The sequence below is a fragment of the Homo sapiens genome, chromosome 5 (assembly GCF_000001405.40).
Source record: "Homo sapiens chromosome 5, GRCh38.p14 Primary Assembly".
Lineage (NCBI taxonomy): Eukaryota > Metazoa > Chordata > Mammalia > Primates > Hominidae > Homo > Homo sapiens.
In genome coordinates, this window is record NC_000005.10 from 100805203 (window position 1) to 100827336 (window position 22134).

The 22134-nt window shown below is 33.2% G+C and overlaps 1 protein-coding gene and 1 non-coding gene across 3 annotated transcripts in view; both read right to left on the minus strand.

Moving 5' to 3' along the window:
• Positions 1–1730: 1730 nt before the first annotated feature.
• The window catches only part of ST8SIA4 (ST8 alpha-N-acetyl-neuraminide alpha-2,8-sialyltransferase 4), a 96350-nt gene continuing 75946 nt past the window's right edge, over positions 1731–22134 (minus strand). For both annotated transcript variants that reach the window (XM_011543630.3, NM_005668.6), the window contains one exon: positions 1731–6927. In XM_011543630.3, coding sequence (XP_011541932.1) covers positions 6645–6927 — 283 coding nt within the window. In that variant the 3' untranslated portion in view covers positions 1731–6644. The remainder of the gene's footprint in view (positions 6928–22134) is intronic.
• On the minus strand, positions 11280–11363 carry MIR548P (microRNA 548p). The gene has a single exon (NR_031686.1). It is a non-coding gene; the product is annotated as a microRNA 548p (primary transcript).

Here is a 22134-nt window from a genome sequence, read left to right on the forward strand (position 1 = left end):
AGCACCATCCAGGGAAAAGACACTGACCTGGAAATCAAGATATTCTTATTATTGGAAATGATTGTCCTATTTGGGGGCAGGAATCAGTAATTAGACCTTCCCCAAGTCTAAATTATATATTATTTCTATATACTTACCTATATTTTTGATCTGTACTCATTAAATGGTCATCTATTTTGCAAACTGTTTCCCAAAGAACTTCTTGGCAGCTAAGAAAAGGCAGCATCAAAATGTGATGGCTAGGGAGGTGGACATTGAAGTCAGTGGTTTCAAGTCCTTGTTCTCTCATTTTTGAGCTGTGTAATCTTGAGCACATCACACGACCTCTCCCTTAATCTTATCTATGAAATTATAATATTTGCAGAATCCATTTCATAGACTTGTTATTAGGATTAAATCAGTTAATACACATAAAGTATTGAAAACTATGTTTGGCCCACAGTAAGGACAATTTAAGTCTTGATAACATATGAAAGGGGAGATTCAAAAGGCTGATACATTTTTGGGTTACTATGAGTGCATATTCAATCCATTTCACACTAACATTATAGGCCCTGGTGAATTGGATTGATTTGATTCAGTAATCAATAGCTAATAAAGCTTGTTCAAAAACTTAGAGGAATGTACATTTTAATAAACCATATGGAAAGGCCGTATGTAATCAAAATGTTCATCTTGACACTTGTATTTTAAATTGTAGCATATAATATAAGGAAAGGTGTGAATAAGGCAATCTGTATATCATAAATTGTGTAGAACATTATAGATAATTAATTATAAGGCAAATAAAAATGTATGCCCAGTTTTTAATTCTGGGAAAATGTTTGTAAAAAATAGTGTATTTTGGAATTTCTTAAAATAAGTATTAAATATGCAAAAATTTGATACATTTTGACATTCTTGGTTAGGAAAATTTAATTCATTTTCTTTATTTGGAGACTTCTCGGTTTGTAATATGCTACCACCTCTTATTAATTCCTGAGACCATTGTGGAATTATGTTAGAACATATCATTCCTTTGCAGAGCATGTTGAACAGCAATGTTTCCCAGAATACATTTTGAAAAGGACTGGGCTGTAATATAAAATAATAAGAGTAAAGAGAAGGATTATAGCAAATCTATCCACCATTTCAGGCAAAACCATACCTAAACCTATTTTTAAATAATAAGCATTTAAAATAATATTTGACAGTAGGAATAAATTATTTGTAAATACTGCCTTTTAAAAAATTGCTTCAGGCATCAAAACTCGTATTACAATCCTGAAAGCTCTTCCATAACATCAAAAATGGAGTTCCACATGATGAGATCTGATTATACCCCCCAAAGTAGCTAAGAATAACCTGTTGTATATGAATCTTTGAAAAAAAGGTAATTATGCAAATATAAATAACATCTATATGTATTAGTTATTGTCAGTGCTTCATTGGTGGTCTCCAGTAAATGTTTCAAAATTGCAGAATGCTACAGTTAAACATTTCTGCAGAAATCAATACAGAGTCTGAAAACAGACTTGCAAGTTATAGAAAGCCATGGAAGAAGATTTAAGCGTGTAGTTTTTCAGAATCATCTCTGGAAGGCAAATCACAAACAGTATTAAGTGGATCAAATAGCAGTCAAAATACTAAATCAAAAATCTGCCATAGAATGTGCAGTGTGTATGAAGTCATTGTAGCTAAAACAACCCACTAACATTAGTCAGTGGGAGTATAAAATGGATATAAATGACTGTCACTTGTGAAATACTTTATTCCCTCAACCGCAAACAGAATGTGCTACACAAAATATCGTTAAGGATTTCCTAATATTCATGGGGTTTTTGACATTGTTCATATTCCCATGTATACACTTAAAAATAAATGGTTTGCCTAATTGCCAACCACTAGGGCTAAGGGGAGTGGAAAAGCAAAGCACAAGCCAAAGCTTGTTAAAAATGATCACCTAACATTGACATACAAAGTATAACCAAGGGCTTGGATATATGAGATAAGAGAAACAGTGAAAAAAAGGGATTAATTTATTTTACAATTTTACAAATGATAAAACAATAATACCCGGTTGCTATACACAAACAATAAGAAAACAGTGTTGAACAGAATGAACTTGAACTTGACAGAATAAACCTCATCTTTCAGTTCCACAAATTCTATAAGAAATACTCAGTAGCAATTATTCTGTGCAGCAATGCTATCTCTGTAAACTCTTTTTTTTTCCTGCTATTTACATTTGAAACACTTGTGCTTTTGCCTACACAAAGAAACGGTTTTTATTAAAAGGTGCTACTTAAATGAGAAACACAAGGCCTGGAGCCACAATCTGAAAACTGTAATTCGAATACATTGCTAGCTTGAAGCCTTTACTTTTCTTCTTTATTATTAAGATTTGGACATACTAGACCCTTACTGTAACTCTACGTATGAACGACATAGAATTCAGTTATAAAGTAGATACCTCTTAAAGCACGTTAGTAACTGAAGTCTCAAAAGAACTTCTTTATTCTAAAGTGGACTTACTTATCTCCAGGGGAGTTCACAGTGCAGACCCTGAAGATGTTAGCATAACACAAATTTAGTGTATACATATTACAGACTCAGTGTGTATACAGACATATACACATATATAACATTGTATATATGCATCACACATGTCTATTTGTACTATATAGGTATATCTATAGCACATATATAATAAAATATCTATTTCTAGGTGGGCTTTATTTGGATTTTCTTTCATCAAATACAAATAATAACCCTCACTCAATTTTTAAAACATTGGTATATTGATAATGTTTGATGGGAAAACTTTCAAACTTGTAGAGATAACAACTAACTATACACAACTCTTCCCATACCCCTTCCACAATTATATATACTCCCTACAATAACCACATGAAAACAACTCTTTCATGAACCAAATATCACGTTATATGCATTATGTCTAACTGGCTCAATTAGAAATAAATTAATTTGTTCATCCTTTTTCTGTATAGTAGCTGAATAACTAATTGGTATGTACACTACCCCTAGCATTACTTAAATAAATTGCTTTTGTAAGCATATATGTAGAAATTCCCATTAGTAATTGATATACAATTCATATGATATACAATACATGAACACATTTGAATGCCCAGCACCTTCTTTCAGATAGAAAAACTTCCGCAGTAGTTTCAACAGTCCTGTGGGCTGAATCATTAGATTTGCCAAGAAAATCTATTACTTGCTCACTTTTTATTTCAGCAACTTAACATTAACTACAGCACAGGCTGAATAATAATGATGAAAATGTTTCCATGGTCTATTCATGTCAACAGCACAATAACAACCATGTTCTGTAAAGGACAAGAATATTTCACAATCAGCTGCCTGAGCATTGCCAAGTACAGGGTTAAATAGTAAAAAATAAATTAAAATATTAAAATTGTGAATATATATTTTCAAAAGAAAAAGCTCCACCTATTTCAAGTATGCTTTTATAATTTGATTTTGTCATGATCCTTTATGCTCCGCTATTGGTTAAATCTCAACTCTTTTTCTTATTCTTGCCATTAGCCTTCATTGATCTTGCTCTGTTTCCATAAAAAGGCCACAGTAGATAGTTAAAATGGGAGGGCAGATGGAAAGGTATACAACAAGGAATGAAATGGGCTTGTACAGTTTGTCTTCTTTGAACCCTAAATACCTTTAACTGAATTCATTCTTGACTATTGAAATCCCTGAGATGAACAAAAGCAATCTCAATCGACACTGAAGCCCTTTTTTTCATGCTGAACATTTTTGGAAGTGGGCAATGTATTTAGAGAACACAAAGGATATGGTGACAAAGTAATGTGAAAAAGCTAAAAAGGCACTACTCAATGCATCTATGAGATAAACATCAATGCACAGAACAATGAATGGCTGAGATATGTGTGCTGTGGCCTTAACATTGTTTAAATGTATTTACTGAAAATATACTAAAAATGGTCCGGCTGCGGTGGCTCACACCTGTAATCCCAGCACTTTGGGAGGCTGAGGTGGGTGGATAACCTGAGGTCAGGAAGTTCAAGACCAGCCTGGCCAACATGGTGAAACTTTGTCTCTACTAAAAACACAAAATTAGCCGAGTGTGGTGGTGGGCGCCTGTAACCCCAGCTACTTGGGAGGCTGAGGCACGAGAATCACTTGAACCCAGGAGGTGGAGGTTGCAGTGAGCTGAGATGGCATCACTGCATTCCAGCCTGTGTGACAGAGTGAGACTCCATCTCAAAAAAAAAAAAAAAAGAAAAAAGAAAAAGGAAGAAAATATGCTAAAAATGGCAAGGTACCTTGCTGCTGCTTTTTTAAGATATACTTTAAATGAGTGCCCAGATGGATTTTACCTTTAAGATATTTGCTTGTGACTTCTAGATTTCTGTTGGATTTAAACTAAAGGCTACTAGAATAGCTTATCATTTGCAAGTAGTCCAAATTTAGATTTTATAAATCACTTTCAATTTATTAAGTAAACCAGACTTTTCAACTTTACATTCAAAACATGTATCTATTCTCTTACAATTTCTGATAGATAAGAGGTTTAATTATAAAAGTACATTAATGTTCCATTCATTTTTAGCTATCAGTCTCCTATACGCATTAGATTTTACTTACTTAGAGACACATACATTCTCAAAAGATGTAATATTCTATATCCCAAGGTTTTACTATATTAAAAAAATATGACATCTAATTAAAAATATTGAGAACTGTACTACTGTGAATATCCTTTTCCATGGTAACACACACACACACACACGTACTTCATGCTTTTTATTCATTTCTCAGACTGTTTTCCCTAAGAAACAAAACATATATATTCCCCATGCCATTTCTTCTTTCCTCAAATTGCCTGCCCAAGAAATAAGAAATCAAAGTACAAGTGAGAATGCAGAGCTTCTGCCCAGTTTCTAAAGAAACAATCTACTATCATAAGTTACCAGAAAACTGGCCTATTGGTCAATTCTGTTATACATTAAAAATTTTTTAATTACTTTATTAATAATTTCATGTGTTTCTTGAAGAACATATGTGATATTGTGACTAAATTTAACTACAGAAAATATCGGTCAATTAAATTCATTTTAAATGCAAAATATTGACACAATTTCACTGTTAAACCTCTTGAAATTAATCATCTCTGTTTTGAAAACAATACTCTATTAATAATGTTATTTCTGCACTAAGAAATTTAACAGTAATATATAAAGCATTTCCATATTTCTATTTGAATAACAAGGGGAATATCAAAGAACTGGAAGTCACATTTCAGCTATATCAATCTAATATTTATTCTAAAGGGCAAAATGCTTCCACAAAATTATTATGTAATGCAAAAGGTGTGAAAAACATTTCAAATGAAAATAAAGTATGAGTTTGAAAATTAAAAAATATTTAGAGACAACTTTCACATTAATAGCAAAATAATATATTCATGTTAATAATATATTATTTTCATGAAAGAAAAATGGTTTGCTGTGTAGAAACACAAGTGTAATCTTTGGTACCAAAGATTTTTTTTTCCCGGCCTATTTTACCATCTCTGATGACATGGAACATCTTTCCTTTAGAATGGCCTAATATTACATAGTGGTTCACTTTAGCTGGTACCTTCTACACCACTGGAAAATAACATGGAGGTTTAGAGCCGTGCAAAATAAAACTTTTTTAAAAATGTCGGCCAGGCACGGTGGCTCACGCCTGTAATCCCAGCACTTTGGGAGGCCAAGGCGGGTGGATCACGAGGTCAGGAGATTGAGACCATCCTGGCTAACACGGTGAAAATCCGTCTCCACTAAAAATACAAAAAATTAGCCAGGCGTGGTGGCAGGCGCCTGCAGTCCCAGCTACTCCGGAGGCTGAGGCAGGAGAATGGAGTGAACTTGGGAGGCGGAGCTTGCAGTGAGCTGAGATCGCGCCACTGTACTCCAGCCTGGGCAACAGAGCGAGACAAAAAAAAAAAAAAAAGTCTTTGTGTGATAGCTTTTAAAAAGTATAAGAACTTTAAAAATAATTACTTAAAGTTTATTTCCTCACTCATATGCATCTCAGAAAGGATTTCTAAGCATCCCAATATCCAAACCAAAAGAGATTCCAGAAGACAAAAAAAAAACATAAATTAAAACATAAAATTCATGATCAGACTCAGAGTCCTGACTGAAGCATTTACTTGAGTTGTTTAATCTTACGGATTTCATTGCTCAAACTGCTTCCATCTTGGCTTCTGCTGACAAGGATGGTTTAATTTCCCAAGGTCTGAGTTGCGTTCCTGGGGTTCCTCTTCTAATATGCTTGGTGTTGCTGTGGGCAGCCTGACAGTGATGAACATATTTGCTTTGTTAACTAATGATGAGTGCACTGTTGGATCTTGTAAACACTACTGATTATACATTCAAACTGTATTCTTAGTGGAAGTGGCACTTACTAGGACCCTTAAAGTCAAAATATTTAATTTTTAGAGCACTTTGCAGGTATTTCATCAGCTGGTAGTCGATTTCTCATGAACGTCCTTTATTCACCTTTCAGTTCATTGGTGGATGCTGAAACCCAGCCGTGTTTTGGATCCTATTTTCAAATCTTCGGAAGCATCTTCAGAAAAGAAGTGCATATTGTTTGTTTCAAAATGTGCTTTATTGCTTTACACACTTTCCTGTTGTCAGTTTTAGAGCTCCTCTATTATGTAGCACATTTAATGTTTTGAATTCTAATGGCATTCTGTGAGGGCTTGCATTGGAAAAGTACCTATATTTTAAGTCATCATAATAATGATATTTGACCGCTTTTCCATTTAAATCCTTAGGGAAGGGCCAGAATCCATACAGGTGAATTTCATCACAGAATCTTGTGGCAAGTGTATACATGAGAAGACCTGTGCTGGGTCTTTTGATAGGAACTTTGTTGGTCAGCCAGTAACTGGAAAAACAAAAAACAAAATCAAGAAGAGAAGAATTTAGACACACATAGAGCATATCCTATAGCAAGTATATAATGCAGAAAACTTAAAAGGTATCTTTATGAATAATATTTTAAAGAATTACTGAAGAAATATTTTTAAGCATTTAGAAAATTTGATGCTTTTATTTTATTTCTTCTTTATCCTTTATTTTCTTTCTTATTCTTGAGGTCATATAAATACCCAAGGGACCTGGAATGTAGGTGAATATTACTCTAGAATCTCACCTTTGAAATGAATAATAGCAAACATTTATATAACATGCAGAGTAAAATTTTCTCAAAAAGGATTAAATACAACTGCAGAAGTCATGGTAATTGGGTAGAGATTAAGTAATCCTCCCAGAAAAAAAAGTTTGAAACTATGCCTATAGATTTTCAAAATGTAAGATATTGCAATTAAAAATCCAAAGAAATAAATGCTTTATCTATGTTATATCAACTGATTTATTCAGCTCCAATTTTCCAAGTCACAATTTACTAAAGCAAATTAGAAGCCTCACTTCCACTCACATAAGAACAACAATAAAAAAAAGTTGTAGAATAATTGATAGTTTTCCAGTTATGCAATTTAACATTTTGTTAGATAGATAAAATATATTTCAATGCTGATAAGTACTTTATAGGCAATAAAGTCCTTCAAAATGTTTAAATCCATCACTGCTGTCAAACATTGGTGTGAAAAGCACGCAAACTCACATCTCTGGAAGGAAGGAGACTTCCAATATTTCTTGGCATATTCATTTCCTTAAGGACAATGACCTTTTTTGAAAACAGCTGAAAGAGTGTGGATTTTTCTCTTACTTTCAAAGTTGTCCAATGATAAACACAAAAACTTAATAAGTTTAAAAATTATTTTGTTTTTCTATCGTCTTCTATTTGGAGAGATATGTGCTCTGCCATCCAAACGTAAGGGGAATATTATGTTAGATCCTGTTTGTTGCTGTATTTAATAAGCTTGCTTTAGATTTCGCATATTATTTTCTTTTTCTCTAAAACTTTTATAAAACTTTCCAGGGGAGATAAAATACATCTAGAGTACTGAGTATGAAAAAAACTTAAAGTGATATGTTACTTCATTTCCTTAAATAAATTTATACTTTCAAACTTCACTGGAAACATCCAAAACAGGGAAAATATACCTGGCCATCATAATTCTATATTTTGTCTTTCATTTTCTCCCTTCTCTGAATCAGGATTGGCCTCACACATATTCTATTTTTTCTCATTTAGTGAAGGCCATGGGCTAAATATTTTGAGCTGTATGAAATGTGTTATGAACTCTTTATTATCACAATTGTTTTGAGAACATCTGTTCTCAGTAAAGACGATTTTATAAGAAATTTTCAGAGAAGAACATCTAGGAATTTTCTCATAACTCAAAGTAACTGAATGAGCAAAACCATAACTCATACACTATAAACACAATGAAGAAAACATAGACAGTGATTCTATGCAAGGAGCATAGTCAAACTTCTTTGAAGGCTTTGAAGAAACTATGATGTGGCCTGAAGCTCTCTGGGCTCTGAGAAAACAAGTGTTTTTTAACATGAAATAATGATTATAAGAAAGTATTGTGAATGTGATTTATGTGAAAGTATTGTGAATATGTATGGTTGCAGAGGTTAGGTGATAGAGTTGGTTAGTTAAAAAAAAACTATCTATTTATAAATTTTTAAAGTAAGCCAAGCAAATTCAAAATCAGTCAAAAAGAAAACAGTATTTCCATTAGGCAAAGTCAATGATTAGGAACAATTTGGCAGTATGAAGGTCATGCTGAATTATTTCTAAAGTGAGAAAAATGCTGCTATATTACTTGTATGAAACTCCAGACTTCTTACTATCAACAAATGCTTTCCATTTCCTAATTCTGGAGAGGTTTCCTCGAGGTTCATGTAACTATGGTTGCTCATTGACAAATACCAAAGCAATTTCTACATGCAATACAAATAAGTAACTACAACGTTAGAAATGCTGAAAGCAAAATTATTGGCTTTAAAATGGTGTCAGAGACGTGAAATCACTCCAAATTTTTTGATACAGGACATCTTATGAGACACCACAAATAGAATATCACTGAAGTGTCTTGAAAATGAAACTGTGATTGCAAAGCATCTTATTTGAAAATAATGAGTAGAGTGACTTTAAAAACTTTTTGTGGTCTTGTTCTAAATAAATTAATCTATGCAGTTAAAATACTGAATTAATTTAGCTTTAGAAATGCTAACAGAAAAATAAATTTTGTGATATTTGATTTGCAACAGTTTGAATAATTTCAAAGAAAAATATACCGTCAATATTTCAGGACATTTTTGAAGAAACAACACAAAATAAATGCCACTTATCCTATTGATTTCTAAAAAGTGTCACAGAAAGATACACCTTAATAAATGGCATCAATATGTAACAGATAAGTTGAAAAATACCTTAAATCAGGTCACTAAGTAGGCAATAAGTAATAACTTTCTAAAAATTTAAAAACACAGAACTGATCAAATACAGTCAATAAGACTGTATTTTGTGTTTATTATCAACCTAATGTTGTGTTTGAAATTGTATAGGCCAATCTAAATTATTGCAATTCGGTATTAAACCAGTAACAAATTCCACATGTGAAAAGGACAAGAATAGATCTTCTTTTTAATTCTGTCAGCATAATTGGTTAGATAATATTTATCAGCATCAAAAGCTAGAGCCCAGACTACAATTTTGAAATCCATACCTGAATGTATCTACCTATACACAATTTGATATTTGAAAACTGCAAATTTTTATGGAGTCTATCAAAAATAGAATATTAACTTGTGTTTCATCCTCATTAGGAAAAATATTAAATTGAAAATAATGCATTGATAAAATAATGGAATATTCACACTGTTTCAGTATAACATGTTCCAGCTTTTATCCCAACTGTACATGTTATGGTTTAAAATTTAGCAAAATTTTACATTCAAACAATAATTTAGTTTATATACATGTATTTCTTTCTATGTAAATTGATTTTTTTGAGTTACCAAATCCATGTAAGCTCCTTGTAGAAAATTTGAAGGAAAAAAAATCTAAGAAAAACATTACCTATAATCCATCCACATAAGGATAATTACTGCTATAACATGCAACATCCTTTTGCTTCTCTGGCTGATTTGGATCTTAATATATGTTACATTCACATATAGACATATACAAATTATTTTTCATCAGAGAGGTTATGTTTTATTTTTAATATTATTAATTTCCTTTCATCCTTCCTTTCTTCCTTCCTTCCTTCCTTCCTTCCCTCCTTTCTTCCTTCTTTCCTTCCCTTTTGTTTTATTATTATACTTTCTTCTGTTGTATGAAACATTCACTCTGGACTTTATGTGTTAATAGAACATTTATAACTTTTTAATAAATTTGATAGCCTCTGTAGATCTCACTACTCTCTCACATACAAAACAGAGCATGAAAGCTCTGTTTTGGCTAAGTGAGGTGTCTTATATACTCTTGCTCCAAAATATTAGTTCAATTTCTTACTTCAAACAAACTGAAAATTTGGAATGTCTCTACCCACCAAATCAGTGTGCTATAGAAGGCTATATTTATAGTCAGAAGACACAGCTTTGTATCTGTGATATGTTTATAAGTACTTGAGAAAGCTGCTTCACTTCTTTGGAGCCCAGTTAACAATATTTAACAAGAAAGGTTGTAATGCTGTAAAAGAGACAGTAAAGGTAAAAGAACATAAAGCTTGACATATAATAAGCAATACTACTTGGCTCTCAACATATCCCAAAACAATCATTCTTCAGTCCCACTCACAAACCCACTTCTCTCTTGGAACCTTCTGTGACTACTTATTGGCTGGACAATTGTGGTAACGTCGTTTAACCTCAATGGACATGTTTCCTTAATTCTGAAACAAACATTTAATTCTATGGCTTTGGGGTTTCCTCTATAAAATTCAATTGCAGTTTCAAATCTTCTCTCTCCGTGAAATTGTGTGAAACACTCTTATTCCTTGTCTCCTTCCTCCTCACCATTTTGTTCCCTTTCCTTCCTTCAGGTTGTAACACATTGCAAAGAAAAGAAGGTACCTAATAAATGCTTATTGATTTTAAATCCTGTAATATTTTAGATTTTATCTCATAATAAAAGCAGATAATAATCACCCGATGAGTCAAAATACCTGATTATTTCAAGCAACCACAGTTTTAGGAACAAAAATGTTATATTTAACAACGTTGATACTAAGGAGAGCTCACATTCAATATATTGACAAACAAGGAATATTGGTTTGTGTTTATATTTAAATAAAGAAGTCTAAAAGTTTAGAAGTATTACATTGGTGCAAAAGTAACTGCAGTTTTTGCTATTGAAAGTAATGACAAAAACTGCAATTAATTTTATACCAACCTAATAATGATAGTTTTTTCTCTTAAAATGTTATTCTTCTTCCAAAAATCAAATGTGACAATTTCTAGAAGAATTTGAATATCAAGGATGGAATCTCACTGTGCCAACAGTTGTAATTTAATGTTATATTATAAGCAAAGTTTCCATTAATGAGCCCAGAAATTCTTCTATCTGGAATGTGAGATGAAGTGTATAACAAAATATACCTTTGTATTCTTAATTAAGGAGTCTCCTCTATTTCTCCTCTCATATTTGTCTTCCAGTAACTGAGATTTGTGCTGCATTCCACTGGAAGTCTATGTCAAGGGTTAAAAAAATGTCTTTTGGTTCTTCCAGTCTGCAGTAATTTGAGATATTATAAAATAATTGGCTTTTTTTCTTTTTTTTTTTTTGAGACAGAGTCTCACTCTGTCGCTGTGTCACCCAGGCTGGAGTGCAATGGCGCAATCTTGGCTCACTGCAATCTCTGCCTCCCGGGTTGAAACTATTCTCCTGCTTAAGCCTCCCAAGTAGCTGGGATTACAGGCGCCCACTACAACACCCAGCTAATTTTTTTTTTTTTTTTTTTTTTTTTTTTTTTGTATTTTTGGTAGAGACTGGGTTTCACCATGTTGGCCAGGCTGGTCTCAAACTCCTGATCTCGTGATCCACCTGCCTCTGCATCCCAAAGTGCTAGGATTACAGGCATGAGCCACCGTGCCCAGCCAGATAATTGGCTTTCTATTAGTAATCTTTGCAGGACATATCTGCACATTCTCAACTCTAGAGTCACCCCAGAAACCTAATAGAGACCATTTATGATGACCTTATTTTTCCCATCAAAAATCACAGTATGGAGCAATAAATAAATGTATGTTTTTTGAGATTCCATCATTCACATTTGTCAATATGTCCATTCATTCTTATGAGGAGTATATGTGTGTCAGCTACATAACATGAAACTTAAAGCAGTCATCCGTGGACATATTGAAATAGAATATCTGCTGTTTTCTTCCCTACTGTTAAAATAGTCCTTTCATTGTATTCTAGTCTGCAGTATATTACATAAAGCACAAACAAGTTAATTCTGTTTTGAAATTATTTTGGTACAGTTCATGATACCTTTTAAGATTATGAGATGGCTTGTGTTTGTCAGATAAAGCAGGGATGATAGTAAATTTCTTAAATAAAAGTGGAACTTCCAGCACTGAACTTGCTGAGAATAATTCACTCTGCCATGAAGTAATCCTTATAGTATGCCAGACAGACAATAAGTGATAGATCTTAAATCTTCTTCTAATGTGTGTAAATAAAGGGACAGACAGACATATTTAACATGATTTGGCAAGCTAAGAGTAAACCTAGGGATAAAAAGATAAGCGATTACTAAGAGGTAGCAATAAGAATAATTTATTGAGAGTATATAATGGGCCAGAGACAGTGTAAAGAGCTCTATATGTGGTGCTTTTTCATTTAATCCTCACCAAAAACCTGTGAGTAGATGTTATGTCATAGCTGAGGACACTGAGGCTTGGTGGTGATGGGAAAGAAAGGATAAATAATCAGTTGAAGGTCACAGAAATTGTAGGTGACAGGACCAAGATTTAAGCTCACATATATCTGGCTATAACTATTTTAATTTTAACTTTAAAAAATTGTATTCTTTAGCTACTTAAGAACATTCAGCTTGGAATAGCAAGTCCTTAGGATCATTTCCAACATGGAGTTAATAGGTGGAAAAAATAAATAATGATCTGTATGGTGTTATGGTGATTAACAGGCCAGTATCAATAGTGGTTTTTTTTCTATGTGTGAAGCTTTTTGGGAATTTTTTTCAAAGGTAAATAAGAGAGGACTAGTATAAAGGACCCACTTTTCTCATGTACACTCTCAAAAGTGCTTGAAGTCAGAAGACAATTTTGTACTTTCACTATATATTTTACTTAACCACATTGCAAATGACAAAGGCAATGACATTGTACCAAAGGGTATGAATTTCCATGCAGAATTGCATGATGCCTCTGAAGGTATTTTGAAGTATCATTAAAATGAAAGCAGAAGTCTGTAACTTTAAGAGGTCAATTGTTAATTTTTTTTTCTATGTGCCCTTTGTATTCAGAGGTCTGTGTCAAGTAGCTGAGAAAAAGAAAGTAGAAAATCTTTTCTACAGAAGCTCTTCATAGTATACATACAGACAATACTTTATCAAACTTTATAAGCTTAATTCATCAGAGGCATAAAGGACTCATGGCATGAAGAAAGGAATGGAGATACTACTTTATGCTCAATGATCACTAAATTCTATTCAGTACCGATGTATGTTATCTGACGTCTATCAGAGAAATAAGGCTTTGCTGTTAGCTCTGAATTTCACCCCTCTTCTTTTTATCTGTCTATGCACATTGTCACATCAAGTATGGATACAATGTTAAGAAATTCTAGATCTACATATATTATGTTGATTTTGCCAACTGTCTCATATTTAGTGAATACGTAACTCTCATTATTGTGATATTAATAATTTTACTCCATATAGTTTCAAACCACTTTCACATGATCCTCATAAAATATTATAATATACACAATAGAATATATTATCATCCCTACTTCATAGAGGATGCAGTTGTGGCTCAAGAAGTAAAATAGCTTATCCAGTTTTACTCAGCCAACAAGCTGTACATTGGTACGTTGGTGAATGTTTAAAGCAGACACTGGGTGTCGGGAGACAGTTCAATGATATATTAGCATTTGTCAATTTCTGTGGAAATTCTAAGTGGTTCCTAAAAGCATTCCCAGCAAGTATCATACTAATAGCATTTGGGAAGGTTAGTCAAATATAAATCTTTATTCTCTATTTTTATTCCTGCCATAAAGGGCAGATACTGTAGGAACTACCCATTTAGACAATTGCCTTGTCCCTGGCATAAATTGAACACTCAAAAAAAGGTAAATATTACCATCATGGCTGATTTCAAGCTACCAACCTGACATCAGTGAACACTGAATTGGGAAGAGATGGTGCAATGAGATCTTGCCAGCCAGTACAAGCAAGCTCCAGTATTCTTCAGACGCAGAAGAGACAGAAAATATTCCTCCTGGCCTGTAGCTTCATGAGTTTTGATCAAGAAAATCAATTTAAAAAATTACTTAGAAACATTTCCAGGTATTAGTTGTTTATTCCATTTGTGAAGAGAGAAAATGGAGTAAACCATTTATAAAGAGAGAAAGTGGAGTAAGGAAGCTGTCTTTGTAAAGATAGCTTCATTACATATTAATATAAATGTTTAACATTATCTAATAAAAATAGAAACAGAAGAGATAAATGATGGTTTTATTTTTAACTCATATTCAACACAATGCTGGATACACAGTAGGTACTTAATGCATGCTTATTTAATTTATTCTTGCTGGTATTTTAGAGATTTGTAGTGTTAATAAAACAGAGCATTCTCATGACTTGCTAATCCCTGAGTTACAATATTCAATAGTGGGAAAGTATTGGAAAAACTGAAGCCCAGCCTTGATTTACCTTTGTTAATGATGTGATCTTGGTCAAACCATTTAAACATATTAGGACCCAGTTTACCCACCAACAAAATGAGGATCTTAATATGGTTTCACTATGTCTAAAACATTCACTTCTATATGGTCAAAAGCAGTATGAATTCACAATAAGGAACACGGGAGTTCATCCAACTATAGCAGTAGTCTAATCTTTACATCTTGCTGGCAGATACTAACTACCCCTACTTTATCTGACATAACATGCAGCATTTCTCTTCAATCGCATTATAGAGCTATTTGGTAAGATCATCCCTACTGAAAAACTTACAATATAATTTCCACTTTCCTGTAACACTTGTAACTAGGGGTCATATAATCTTTTCTCCTAACAAATTCATAATTAATGTATTTTTTCAAATTTACTTATTCATTTTAATTGACATATAAAATTGTATATATTTATTATATAAAACATGATGTTTTGATAATGCTTGATAATCTGAAAGTCATAAAATGACCCCTTACAATTTCAAAGCTAAAGCTAATGTAAGAGAATGAAGTCACAGGAAAATGGAATCTTGCTGAAAACTGAGAAAAATTAAACAAAAATAACCAGAGAGAATACTCTAGACTTTATTTACCATGTCAGATTGTTGAATGGAACTAAAATAGATGACTCCCAAACTACATGAGTGATTTAAATAATCGTATGTGGGCTAGATTTTGGTGAAGAAGAATTTTAAAAATAAGCATCATATAATAGATGGATTATAACTGCATTTAGTAAAATATCTTTTGGGAGTTGTCAAAGAGAATGCTTAAAATCTTGAGCTGGCAAATTGGAGGTAGAGTAAAATATGAAACAGATGTCAAACCACAGATGTTAATGGCCTTTTCTTTTAATCCATTACTATTTTAATGACCTTCACGTTTAATCCTTCTGAGAAAAAACTGAAACTCGTAATCTAAACTTGCAGAATGAAGAAGTGGTGACATACAAAAAGTGAAATACTAGAAAAATAGAAAGGGATGGTCTTCTGAAGCATGATGAAGGAGTTAAATTAGGTTAACATTTAAGTGCTCTTATGAGATCAGATTACTTTTTGAAAATCAAAAACCATGGAAACTACATTTTTCTTACTAAGATTGAAAGGAAACAGTGCAATCATTTATCAGAGGACATGGAGTCCTACAAAGAAAAAAAAAGCATTAAAATACAAGGGGTGGTAGTGGTGTAGGTAATCCTAACGCTCAGTAAAAATGGGTTAGATAGGGAAGACGATAATGATCTAGGTGTTTATCCATGCAAATTTTTTATTTACATTAACAAGGAGTCCAAGGAGGCACTTAGAGAATATACTTTCATACTCCCCAGCCTATATGAGGTTAGTTTCCCAATAAAAGTTAATTTTACTATGACAATAAAATATAAACAACTCTTCTAATGGTCTGATGATCTTATTTTAGCTTGATCTGGACTCTTTACAAATGGATATGCTCAGTTTACATCAATAAATCAGGTTACATTAACCTCCCAGATAGTTGTGCTAAAATCAATTTCAAGAAAAGTAAGGAACAACAAATGTGATCTATATTCCATTGAATAATGTAACATTCTTGCTATCAAAGTACACTAACTAAACATCAGTCAAGGATCAGAGTTCTCAAATCCCAGCAAATGAATAGAATTAAGATAGCCATAAGCAAATTCTAAGTGGTTCCTAAAAGCATTCCCAGCAAGTATCAAACTAATAGCATTTGGGGGTTAGTCAAATATAAATCTTTATTCTCTATTTTTATTCCTGCCATAAAGGGCAGATACTGTAGGAACTGCCCATTTAGACAATTGCCTTGTCCCTGGCATAAATTGAACACTCAGACAAGGGCTTTCCATGAGCATATAAGAAAGGGAACTTCCCAGCTGAGGAAAACCTCCATGAAGGATAATGTTAAGACAATGACAAGGTGGCAGGCTTTGGGTTTTGAATTATATTACAAAGCCACTGTTTTAATTCTGCTCCACAAAATTAGAGAAAAACTTTCAACTTTTAGCCCTGAAACTTTAAAGGGCTATAAGACGCTATGAAATATTTTTCATTAGTCAAATATTAATAAATACCTGGATTGTTTTTTCCCTCCACATGTCAATCTCTATTTGGTGAAATTTCAGTCTATTCAAACCATCGCTAATTTTCCTCCCTTTACTTTTTGTTTGAATCAACGGTGATACCTTCAACACATTTTAGGCAGAATCACTTAATTTATAAACTGCATTTATAAAATGGTTGCCGAATCAAGAACATTAATATAGAGAAAGTTTCTAAAATAATGTTAATGTTCCTATTGAACAACTTCGGTACAGTGAAAAATCCTAGGACTTAGAATGGAGTCAGCCCTCAGAGTGTAAGCTCTAAGCCTTGGCTAGTCCTTGCAATGTCTGTGTTTCAGATTCCTGATCTCTAAATTTGGGTAAAAACATTTTCCCTTTAGGAATGCTAAAAGAATTGAATGATAACGTACAAATAATAGTTCACTGTAAATTACGAATCAATATGTAAATGAAATTTAATATATTATGTCGAAGAAATCACATTAACAAAATCAGGTCACAATACCTATGTACATGTGTCAGAGGCATTTGAAACAGAGCAACTCCATCTTGAATAGGCGCTGGGTAAAATAAGACTGAGACCTGCTGGGCTACATTCCAGACGATTAGGCATTCTAAGTCACAGGATGAGACAGAATGTCAACACAAGACACAGATCATAAAGACCTTGCTGATAAAACCGTTTGCAATAAAGAAACCAGGCGAAACTCACCAAAACCTGTAATCCCAGCACTTTGGGAGACCGAGGCGGGCGGATCACGAGGTCAGGAGATTGAGATCATCCTGGCTAACACGGTGAAACCCCGTCTCTACTAAAAATACAAAAAAGTAGCCGGGCGTGGTGGCGGGCGCCTGTAGTCCCAGCTACTCGGGGGGCTGAGGGGGGAGAATGGTGTGAACCCGGGAGGCAGAGGTTGCACTGAGCTGAGATGGCGCCACTGCACTCCAGCCTGGGAGACAGAGTGAGACTCCGTCTCATAAACAAACAAACAAACAAACAAACAAACAAAAAAACCCCACCAAAACCAAGACGGTGATGAGAGTGACCTCTGGTCATTCTCACTGCTACACTCCCACAAGGGCCATGGCAGTTTACAAATGCCATGGTGATGTCAGGAAGTTACCCTGTATGGTCTAAAAAGGGAAGGTATGAATAATCCACCCCTTGTTTAACATATAATCAAGAAATAAACATAAAAAAGGGCAACCAGCAGCCCTTGGGGCTGCTCTGTCTATGAAGTAGCCATTCTTATATTCCTTTACTTTCTTAATAAACTTTCTTTCCCTTTACGGACTTGCCGTGAATTCTTTCTTACGTGAGATCCAAGAACCCACTCTTGGGGTCTAGATGGGGTCTCCTTTCCAGTAATACCTGCTCATATAACACTCAACTCAACCAACAAATTTAAGTTCAGTTTCATTTAACTCTTATCTTTGTTTATAATTTAACGAACTAGTGCCTGAATTATACAACCAGGAATTTAAAATTATCCGGTAAAACAAAACAAATGAAGAAACAAAAAACTCCAATAGTTACTTTTTTTGGACTTGATACATTTTAGAAAGCAGTGAAAACTGATCATGTGGTGTCAATCTGGAATGTGGACTATACAATTCAACTCAATATAGCAATCATGAAATTCACTTAAATTTAGAGGCACTGCCTAAGACAAACATTTATTCCATACAATTTGTTTTCTTTCTATCGAACTGGTGTAATAGAAATTCAAGAATGAGAGTCACAAACTTTTTTACTGACAGTTTGAATAAGAATATAAGTTGATAGAGATAATTAACTCAGACTTTATAACAATAAACTTAAAGAGGGTGAAATATAACTTTCTTTAAAATGGAAATGTGATTGAAATGGCTTTTTGTTGTTGTTATTGTTCAAGAGGAATATTTCCATAATAAAGCCTCTCTAATCACTTGTTTGATGATTGGTTCTACTTGGGCAAAAAATCTGAAGAAAGGCAATCTGTGGGAGTTGGTTTACGAAGAAATGTACAGTATTATTGACCATCTGTTTCTATTTTAGTACATTCATGTAATATTGTTTTGTATGATGACTCAAATTTCATGTATAAACTGCTAAAATGCATGTAATACCTGTAGAGTGCAGAAGGCAAGAGAAGAATCTAGGGTATATAGAGGTTCAAAAAGAAACTATAGAGTGCTAGAGTATAAACTGCATTAAAATATTGGGGAAATATTAAGTTTAAAATATTAAGAAACCTCACATTGTATCTCTAATGGGGTTACTTAACTAAAAGACAACTGAAATAGCTCAGTTGCTATCTTAATTCTTTCTTTGGAAGAAGGCTATGAATCCATAAAATTTATGGGAACTCTTTAAGGGATATCCAGAGGATCCTACATTTTGAACATTCATGAAAAAAAAAGGCTTTTTATTTTTGGTCTAACAATTGTGTATCAAAGCAAACTCAGGAACTAAGGAACTCTGTTATATATCTCTAAGGAATTTTAAATTATAGCATCTGAAAAAAAAGGTGGAGGGGGGCAAGGTAAGCCATCCCATTCAGTTCCTTAATCAAATAAGAAAATACACCTAATGAGTTCCTCCAATGGCTGCCTACACAAAAGATTTAGTTAATAAGATCCTTAGGTCAGGCACAGTGGCTCATGCCTGCAATCCCATCACTTTGGGAGGTTGAGGTGGGAGGGTCCTGGAGGCCAAAGGTGTGAGACCAGCCTGGGCAACATAGCAAGACCCTGTCTTGACAAAAAAAAAAAAAAAATAGCCAGCAGTAGTGGCATACACCTGTAGTCTTAGTTATTGGAGAGGCAGAGGTGGGAGGATAACTTGAGCCCAGGAGTTTGGGGTTACAGTGAGCTATTATCATGCCACTGCACTCCAGCCTGGGTGACAGTATGAGACTATCTCTAAAAAAGTAATAAAAATAAGAGATTTTACCAGATTGTTAGAACCAATGATTATTCACTGTCAGAGAAACATACAGATTCCTAGAGTGGGATATAAGTAGAAGAAGTATAATAAATACAGTTGTTTTGATTGGGTTCAAATCATATTATTTAATTTATTTTGCAATTCTAAATATTGCTAAAGATAGACATGAGATTTCATGTGTATTTATTTATTTATTTAATTATTTATTTTTTGGAAGCAAGGGTTAAAGAAACTTTGAGGATGGTCTATGATTCTACTGAATTATATTTTATATATTAACATTAAACTTCCTATATCAGTGATGTTGAAATTAAGTAATGAGCACAGAAATAAGAAGTGCATTAGTGTCTGCCTAGGATAGTTGACATTTTTGTTATCAAATTCTGTCTGTAGCATATGAAGTTTTCAAATTTGCAAGTGTTCAATAATTAAGATTTATTCCAGACCAACTGCCAATTAGATTGTTCTCATAGACTTTAAAGAAAGCGAAGGATACTCAGTTTGATTGCTCTTTCCACTGCAAGAATTATCAGGTCAGAAACAGGCTCTGAAAGTGCAGGACCATAACTGAACTCTGGACATTAAGTGGCGTTTTAGGTCTGGCCACTGGCTATTGTAAGGAAAATATATATTATTTATGAATAGGCTATCGATATATAAATAAATGTACCTTTTCTAGCCATATAATTAAGGTCTGTCTTAGGTAGATATTTTTGTCATTATTTACCTAACCTGTAGCTTGTAGAGAGATTATTCACCTAATTTGTAGCTTGTAGAGAGCTTATCCTAACACCAAATTGTCAGTAATGCTTAATTTGACTTGCCTATATTAGGGTCAAAAAATACAATTATAATTTATATAATTACATAAAATACAATTCAGCAGAGCAAACACATCCTTGTCAAGGGGATAGCTCATTTCTTTCTCTTTTAACATTTCACCAGCTCTTACTGTATTTCCAGAATTCTAGTTCTTTTGAAGAATGTTCTTACTGGATAGAAACACAGGCAACCTGATGAACTTTTGGTTGGTTTGGAGCAACTTAATTTTTTTTTATTATTATGTGGTTCTATAGAATAAAGAAATTGGAACTATATGGCAATGCTAAATAATGATCTTCCAGTATTTCTTGCCACACACCCTGGCCAGTTCCCCTATTCGTTGTTTCTTCTCTATATTTAAGAGCTGACTACATATGCCAATGTGGGAAAACATTGCTCCTTTTCAAACAGAAGTTCTACTTAAGTTTCAATTTCCAGTTGATTCATCAAAACAAAGCTGGTTCAGAAAGGGGAAAAATTACAAATTGCTTACATCTGTTCAATGTAAAACATTATTCATAATCTGCCAGTGATGATGGCTAAGCCATCTGGGGAATATGATAGGTACTTGGGGCCAAAAAAAAATACGAAAACAAAAATCACAGTGCAATGAAGAAGTGACAAGTGTGAAGGTCTGAAGGTTATCCTGTAGTTCAGTTATGGCTTTCAGGTATTTGGGGATATGCAAGTTCTAAATTTATACGTGAACAAACTGGAAACACTTATATACTTAACATTTTCACATAACAAGCCTGAATATACTTGTTAAATTAATGAATTATTAAAATCAAGAGTTTCTGAGAAAAACAAGTGAAACAAATTGTTACAGGGTATCATTAGGTAATATATCATTTCATTCTAATTAATAAAGTAAATATCTATATGAGTGTCCTATTCAGAATAGTTATATAACATGTATAGTTATATGTTGTATATTATATTTACATAAACAATTATATATAATACATTAATACATCGAATCCTATCTGTAAATGTATATAACACATATGTAAATATATATATTCAGTTTTCTATTCAGATATATGTGTGTGTATATACACACACACACACACACACACACATCCCATAGGAAGGAAATTTCCTCCCCAAGTTTTTGTTACCACTTATTTGGGCACACTTGTAGGGTGATACACGTTAATTCCTTATTAGAAAAACACTTATAAAATCACTAATTATATTCACTGGGCTTCTCCTGACACTAATGGTACAAGTCAGAAGTTTTGAAGTTCTATTATAAATATGTTGCTAGCACTATACATTTGTCAGAGTGTTGAAGAGAATAAGTTCAATATCAAGAAATAAATATAAAATAACTTAAATCTACGTTGTGAAAACATCTCTTTTTCAGATGTGTCATGGATAATCTATAACAATTTTGTCTTCATTAAGGAAAAAGGACAACTGGATATCT